The sequence below is a fragment of the Homo sapiens genome, chromosome 7, assembly GCF_000001405.40.
Source record: "Homo sapiens chromosome 7, GRCh38.p14 Primary Assembly".
Classification (NCBI taxonomy): Eukaryota; Metazoa; Chordata; class Mammalia; order Primates; family Hominidae; genus Homo; species Homo sapiens.
Window position 1 is genome coordinate 73,357,914 of NC_000007.14, and position 8,527 is coordinate 73,366,440.

The 8,527-nt window shown below is 53.8% G+C and overlaps 1 protein-coding gene across 6 annotated transcripts in view; it reads left to right on the forward strand.

Annotated features, from left to right (window-relative positions):
- FKBP6 (FKBP prolyl isomerase family member 6 (inactive)) overlaps positions 1 to 712 on the forward strand; it is a 30,465-nt gene extending 29,753 nt beyond the window's left edge. For all 6 annotated transcript variants that reach the window (NM_003602.5, XM_047420984.1, XM_047420985.1 and 3 more), the window contains one exon: positions 268 to 712. The gene's annotated coding sequence lies outside the window, so the exon portion shown is untranslated. The remainder of the gene's footprint in view (positions 1 to 267) is intronic.

Below are 8,527 nucleotides of genomic sequence, written 5' to 3' on the forward strand. Positions count from 1 at the left end.
GGAGGCAGAGGTTGCAGTGAGCAGAGCCTGTGCTACTGCACTCCAGCTGGGTGACAGAGTAAGGCTCTGTCTCAAAAAAAAAAAAAAAAGTTTCCCAGAGCCCATCTAGTAGGGCCACACGGTGATGGCATCTGTCTCTTGGCTCCTGTGTGGTCACCGGCCATGCCCTTCCCTGACCTCAGCTGCTAGCCCTCAGCACATGTGACTGTGACGTCGTGTGGCAGCTGCTGAGTCCTGAGATGTTTTTAATGGCTGTTTGATTCCCAGGTTCTTCACCTACCAACGAGGGGAGAGAGCTGTGGTTCTCCATCATTGGGGGAGTGGAAGGGAGCTCCCAGCGCAGCCGTGGCAGCCACCTTCCAGGAGCAGGGGCTGGAATGTCCTGTGGCCGCATCTCTCATGGACGCGGCTGAAACGTGTTTTCACAGGTGCTGTTTTCTGTTTTCCGTGTTCGTAACAGAAGGGAGGGGAAAGCGCAGCTACTGACAAGTAGAACACTGCTACTTTTTTTAAGGCAGTTTCTTGTTTTTTTAGACGGAATTAGTCCTTGGCTTCCCTCCCAGTCCCAGCCCTGCTTCCGGCTGCGAATGTCCCTGAGTCAACACCAATAGAGATTGCTTTGTGTATTTTGTAGGGTTCTCTGTTTTGAAGACAGAATTATGTTACAAATGTTTTTGTTGTAAATAAATAAAACACTTCCTTGTCCTTGCAAGATCCAGTATAAGTGAATTGCGTGGACTCAGCTAAGCTTCCAGAGTCCCCAGGTGGGCAGGGGGAGGCCATTTGCCAGTGGGGCTGGGGCTCAAGCTCTGGAGCCAGCGGTTCTGATTCACCTGATAACGAAACGCTGCACACCAGGCTTGGGGTTCCCTAAGCCCGCTCCCAGTGTGGGGAGCTGATGCCAGCAGCTTAATGGAAAGTTGAAGCTACTTCACCCTCCCATACCCCGACACCCCGGGATCCTTGTCCCACACAGCCCTGAGGCCACCTCACCCTCCTGCGCCCCGACACCCCGGGCTCCCTGCCCCACACGACCCTGAGGCCACCTCACCCTCCTGTACCCCGACACCCCGGGCCCCCTGCCCCACACAGCCCTGAGACCACCTCACCCTCCTGCACCCCGACACCCCGGGCTCCCTGCCCCACACAGGCCTGAGGCCATCTCACCCTCCTGCACCCCAACACCCCGGGCTCCCTGCCCCACACAGGCCTGATGCCACCTCACCCTCCTGCACCCCAACACCCTGGGCTCCCTGCCCCACACAGCCCTGAGGCCACCTCACCCTCCCGTACCCCGACACCCCGGGCTTTCTGCCCCACACAGGCGTCTCTGAGCCTTTCCCAGGGTCCCACGCTCCCTCATGGGGCTGAGGCAGGAGGCTCCCCTCCCCTGTTCTGCCCCACCTCTCAGCCTCCATGAGTACCCACAGCTGTGCCTCCAGGTCTCCCCCACAGTGCCCACACTGCCCCGAAGCCTTTCTCGACCCCGTGTCCCCTCTCATTAGCCTCCCTGACCTTGGTCACCCTCCTTCCTCAAGGGTGCCGTCTACACTGGCTTCTCCACTCTCAGCCAGTGACTCCTTGCCCCGCTGCCGTCCCATCTCGCTGCTGATCTGCTCGGGCCATGGGATCCAGCAGGCATTTCTTTGTCCCGATCGGACCTGACTTTACTACTCTGAAACTTCCTCCTCCCCAAGACACTGTCTTCCTTGAATTTCCAAGCTTCCAGCTCCGGGATTTCCTGGCTCCTCTTTTGGGAAGGCTGCCCATTGCTTGTACTCTCTTCACTGCCTGCCTCCCGCCACCCCAAAAACACTTCAGAGCATTTCAGATATAACCCAGCGGCGAAGGGCTGGGAAAGGGACCCATCCAGGCCATGGGTCCTTCTCGAGGGCTGGGCGTGCTGCCTGGCCTAGGAGGCCCCCGGCCTGTGCCCCCACCTACCAGGGCCTCACCTTCTGACAGAATCGGCTTAGAGAGCAGAAACCAAGTCCTGGGGGAGCAGGCTGCACTGCCTCTCTTTGTGGAGGAGGAGGGCGGGTGATGCCACCAGGGGACCAGGGTATCATCAAGAGGCCTCCCCTGGAAGTGCCTGCCCTCCCCCAGTGCTCCCTTCAACCCGCGTTGCTGGAGTGGTGGCTCTAGAAGAGTGGCTTTCTCAGAGGTCACCAGGAACTTGGCGATGTTTGCCACATCTACACCTCCAGACCTCATGACCACGGTCTGGCTTCATCTGGCATGAGACGTCCCTTAGTCCCTCCTGATTCAGGAAGGCCCAGACCCCACACCACACTCTGCCTGCTGCTGAGCCCTGCATCAGCCACCAGCACTGTCACCTGCCCAGCTGTCTCTTTTCAGCCTTCTCTAACATGCCCATACAGCCAGAACAGTCTTTTTAAAAGTTTGTCAACCCCATCAAAAAGTGGGCGAAGGACATGAACAGACACTTCTCAGAAGAAGACATTTATGCAGCCAACAGACACACGAAAAAATGCTCATCATCACTGGCCATCAGAGAAATGCAAATCAAAACCACAATGAGATACCCTCTCACACCAGTTAGAATGGCGATCATTAAAAAGTCAGGAAACAACAGGTGCTGGAGAGGATGTGGAGAAATAGGAACACTTTTACACTGCTGGTGGGACTGTAAACTAGTTCAACCATTGTGGAAGACAGTGTGGCAATTCCTCAAGGATCGAAAACTAGAAATAACATTTGACCCAGCCATCCCATTACTGGGTATATACCCAAAGGAATATAAATCATGCTGCTATAAAGGCACATGCACATGTATGTTTATTACAGCACTATTCACAATAGCAAAGACTTGGAACTAACCCAAATGTCCATCAGTGATAGACTGGATTAAGAAAATGTGGCACATATACATCATGGAATACTATGCAACCATAAAAAAGGATGAGTTCATGTCCTTTGTAAGGACATAGATGAAGCTGGAAACCATCATTCTCAGCAAACTATTGCAAGAACAAAAAACCAAACACTGCATGTTCTCACTCATAGGTGGGAATTGAACAATGAGAACACTTGGACACAGGGAGGGGAATACCACACACTGGGGCCTGTTGTGGGGTGGGGGGAGGGGGGAGGGAAAGCATTAGGAGATATAGTGTAAATGATGAGTTAATGCATGCAGCACACCAACATGGCACATGTATACATGTGTAACAAACCTGCACGTAGTGCACATGTACCCTAGAACTTAAAATATAATAAAAAAAAAGGAAAGGAAAAACATAAAAAACATCACAATTGTAAATAAGGACCAAAAAAAAAAAAGTTTTGTTTGTTTTTGATGGAGTCTCATTCTGTTGCCCAGGCTGGAGTGCAGTGCTGCAATCTCAGCTCACTGCAACCTCCACCTCCCGGGTCCAAGTGATTCTCCTGCCTCAGCCTCCTGAGTAGCTGGAATACAGGTGCACACCACTGTGCCCAACTAATTTTTTAAAATATTTTTAGTAGAGATGTGGTTTCACCATGTTGCCCAGGCTGGTCTTGAACTCCTGTACTCAAGCGATCCTCCCACCTTGGCCTCCCAAAGTGTGCTGGGATTATCAGCATGAGTCACCACACCCGGCCCCCGGAATGGTCTTTCTAAAGTTCGGCCCCGTCATCTCTAAATGGTGCTGTGGTTACCTTCCTGGACCTCCTCTGCCTCATTTCTTGTGGCCTGGCTCCCTGTCCCCAGCCCAGCCTCCTGCCCCACAGCATAGGCATGCCCCCTGCAGCCTGCAGTGGTGGGAGCTGACTGATCACTGCCTGCCCCCTGTCCAGCCTCCTTTCTAGGCTTTTCCTTGGAAGAGGGTTTTTGGAAGGACTTCAGCACAGAAGTGCCGTGAAGAGATGGGTGTTTCAGGAAGTCGCTCTTCTGACTTAAGAATATTAAAAATGGAAGAAAACACTGCACGCAGCACTTCTGCTCGTAGGACTCTGCCTTCAAAGACATGCACACTTGTGGACTAAGAGGATGTTCATTCATTGCACCATTGCTGATGAGGTCATAAAATTGGAGGCCGCTGTGAGGCCTTCAGAGGGACTGGTGAAAGAGACCCCAGCACAGCGGCCTGGGGAGGACTCTATGGCTTTTTTTTTTTTTTTTTTTTCTTGTGAGACAGAGTCTCGCTCTGTCGCCCAGGCTGGAGTGCAGTGGCACAATCTCAGCTCACTACAACCTCCACCTCCCAGGTTCAAGCAATTCTCCCATCTCGGCCTCTCAACTAGCTGGGATTACAGGTGTGCGCCACCACGCCCAGCTAATTTTTGTATTTTTTGTAGAGACGGGGTTTTGCCACATTGGCCAGGTTGGTCTCAAACTCCTGACCTCAGGTGATCCACCCACCTTGGCCTCCCAAAGTGCTGGGATTGTATACAGGTGTGAGCCACCGTGCCTGGCCCCCATTACATCTTTTTCAAATTTAACACACGTGTATGTAAGGGGGGTATTCAGTGAGCACTTGAGGAAGGTACAGACCCCCTAGCCCTGCGCTGCACTGAGCTTTTGACAGCCCCAGTGCCTGGCGAGATGAAGCTGCATGGTGTTCCAAACATTTCTTCCAGTCAGTTCTTCTCTCATGATAAGTGCTTTACCTGTTACTCTGTTACCTTTGTTAAATAAAGTTAGTATGTTGCATTTTAAAAATAATAAGAGGCTGTAATCCAGCACTTTGGGAGGCTGAGGTGGGCGGATCACCAGGTCAGGAGTTCGAGACCAGCCTGGCCAACATGGCGAAAACTTATCTCTACTAAAAATACAAAAAGTTAGCCAGGCATGGTGGCTGGCATCTGTAATCCCAGCTACTCAGGAGGCTGAGGCAGGAGAATCGCTTGAGCCTGGGAAATGGAGGCTGCAGTGAGCTGAGATTGCGCCACTGCACTCCAGCCTGGGCAACAGAGTGAGACTCTGTCTCAAAAAAAAAAAAAAAAGAGGCTGATGCAGGAGGATCCCTTGAGGCCAGGAGTTTGAGACCAGCCTGGGCAATATAAAGACACCCTGTCTATACAGAAAATATTTTAGAAAATAAGCCAGGCATGGTGGTGCGTGCCTGTTGTCCCACTACTCGGGGGGTTGAGGTGGGAGGATCACTTGAGCCCAAGAGTTGGAGGCTGTGTGAGCTGTGACTGCACCACTGCACTCCAGCCTGGGTGACAGAGCAAGACCCTGTCTCAAAAAAAAAAAAAAAACATGGAGACTCGTGTGTGTACACAGCACCAGAGGACACAGGCTCAAACGTACTGTCATTATGGCGAGCACAGCACCGAGAGGGGAAAGGGGTCCCGTGTTTTCTCCTGGGTGCTTCTATACAATTTGAGATGCATCCATGTATTGTTAGTGCACTTTAGAAATGAGAAGGAATGTGACTTGCCTGCCTCGTGGACTGTGGGGTTGGAGCTGGGGAGCGCAGGAGTGCCGTGGGGTCCTTCTGCCGCAGCTCGCCCGAGCCTTGTGCTGGAGGCACGTGCAGGGAGCACCAAGGAGGAAGGCAAGCTGGGTGCCCCTAACCCATCGCGCAGGAGGTCAGTGGGATGGTGGTGTGCCCTGTGTCTGCCAAGGAGACGCGTGGTCCCTGAAGCACATGAAACCAAATTCCACGCTGGAGGTCCATAGACCAGCTGCCGAAGAGGCCCCCACGCAGGTCCCCAGGTGGCATTGACCTTGTCCAGGGCATCACAGTTCTCAACCTTTCCCCTGAGGTGGATTTCGGGGTTGAGTGCCCCCTTTTTAAGCTCAGATGCAGAGCATGGAGTTGATGACGCCCCACAGTCATGCACAGCACCGCATCCGTCCACGACACCCTCATTATTCTAGTCCTGTACACTCTCCCACAGGCAGCCGTGCCCACGTGCTTCGTGTATATCTTTGAGAGTGTTCTTGCAAAACGTGTCCACCGTGGATGTCCTGAAGCCAGCCAGCCTCCCGGTGGCCTGTGGGATGGTATGGTGCAGGAGTGACAGCGCCTCTGCCGGGGCTTCCCTTCATTCCCCCAGCAACACTGGAGACCACTGAAGTCTCTGCACTTTGCAAGGACGGAGGAGGCTGGCTCAGAGGGGCCCAGAGGCTTCCCAGAGACCCCCTACTTGTCAGATCCCGGCACCGGGGGCTGCCTTTCTGGCCTCACCCGGGGCATAGTGGGCTGGGTCCGCCCTGGGGGCCTGCTTTGTGGCGCCCCACCTCTCCCCGCGGTGGAATCTCCACGGTCATTTCAGAGGGAAGGTCATGAGACCCTGGGCAGGAAGGACTTGCCCCGGGGGACAGAGGCACGCTGAGGGAGACCCCGGTTGCAGCCTGGAGCCGCAGGCTTTTCCCACTGGGCCCTCGAGTCCTCTCCTCCCCGAACCTGGGTCCTTCTCTTGAAGAGAGGATTCGGGCTCAGGGTAGGCTGACCTTTGCTGAGCAGATCCGGCAATAGGTGGTGACATAACCCACTCCTTGCTTTCTGGGCAAGCCTGGTGGCCCCAGGGAACTTCATCACCCTCCTCGGCCCCCTGCCTATGGCCTGAGCCTGGGTGCCAGGGCGCTGCTGAGAAGGGCACTTGGCCTCTCTCTGCCACCCAAATGCTAGACACAGTCCCCAGGAAAGGGCACAGTCCCCAGGAAAGGGCTGACACAAAGACCACCCTTGCCCTCCGAGAGTAGGAAAGGCGGCGGGCACGGTCACGGGCAGTCCTCCAGGCACAGTGGCAGGAGCCCGGAAATGTTGGCAGCCAGCCCCTCTTGTCTGCAGAGGGGAGCCCTAGGGGGCCCTGAGCCTCCGGGGAAAATCAGTGCTAGAGGCCCCTTCTTTTATGGGCTCGGGAACCGGGCTGGTGCGGAGAAGAGGTGGAGCTGCTTTCCTGGCACCTGCTCTCTCCTGGCAGGTGAAGAAGCTTCCCTTAAGCACTCTGACTGCTGTGACCACCGCAGTCGTGATAAGGTCGCAGTAATGCTCAGCAGAGGGACTTCACCCACGGCGACCGCTAAGCCAGTGTGTGTGTGTGTGTGTGTGTGTGTGTGTGTGTGTGTGTGTCCAGGAGGCAAACACTCTAGAAAGAGACAGAAATGTCAAATGTCAGCAGATAAATAACAATATATAATATATATAATATAAATATTGTAATAAACCAAAAAGTGTTTCATCTTATATATGTGATATTCTTTAATTCCCAACCATTCAAACTGAAAGTGCAGCTGAGGCTGGGCACAGTGGCTAACGCCTGCAATCCCAGCACTTTGGGCGGCGAAGACGGGAGGATTGCTTGAGCCCGGGAGTTTGAGACCAGCCTGGGCCACAGAGTGAGACCTCACCTCTATATATTTTTTTAAATAACAAAATTTTTTTTGTTTTTTGTTTTGTTTTGAAACAAGGTCTCACTCTGTGGCCCAGGCTGGAGTGCAGTGATGCGATGTCAGCTCACTGTAATCTCCACCTCCTGGGTTCAAGCAATTCTCCCACCTCAGCCTCCCGCGTAGCTGGAACTACAGGCATGCGCCACCACACCCAGCTAATTTGTGTGTGTGTGTTTTTTGGTAGAGATGGGGGTTTCACCTTGTTGGCCTGGCTGGTCTCGAATTCGTGACCTCAAGTGATCCGCCCACCTCGGGCTCCCAAAGTGCTGGGATTACAAGTGCGAGCCACGGCGCCTGGCCAGAAAATATTGTTAAAAATAAAAATGAAAGCCAGGCACATTGGCTCACACCTGTAATCCCAGCACTTTGGGAGGCTGAGGTGGGTGGATCACGAGGTCAGGAGTTCGAGACCAGCCTGGCCAACATGGTGAAAACCCGTCTCTACTAAAAATACAAAAAATAGCTGGGTGTGGTGGCGGGTGCCTGTAATTCCAGCTACTCAGGAGGCTGAGGCAGGGGAATTGCTTGAACCCAGGAGGCGGAGGTTGCAATGAGCCAAGATCGCACCACTGCACTCCAGCCTGGGTGACAGAGCAAAACTCCATCTTGGGGGAAAAAATGGAATTAATAAAAATATAAATGTGCTGCGGAGGGGCATTGGTGTGGGGGGGCTTGAGTCAAATCTCCATTGTCCCGTCCTGCCCCTCTTCCCACTCCCTCCTGCTGAACTTACCCCACTGCTCAGGTCAAGGCAGAACGGCCCCTCTAGTTAGGAGAACCATTCAGACCCAGACAGTCACCTCCCAAAAAGGGAAAGAGCTTGGGGGTGCTGGAGGTTTAGTAGCTGCTTTTGGAGAAATCCCAAAGACAGGAGCAGCACCAGGAGGCCAGTCTCTGGAAAACAAGTACAGTGGAAAAGGTAGATTCTGGAAAAGGGGCCATATGGCATTCCAGAAAGAGCCCTGAACTTTCTCCTGCCAGGTGACAGCCCCAGCATCACTGCAGTGGCGCCCATGAGGGCTGTCCCAAGGGAGCTTCTGTCACTCTGTGCTGGGCGCGCTGTGGGTGCTCAAGCAGTGCCAGTGGAGTGTGAAGTCGCTGACGCTGACCTTCATGTGGGCTCTCACATTGAGGTGGGCGATGAGATGGAGAAGTCTCAGAGGTGGCTGCAGTCGCGGT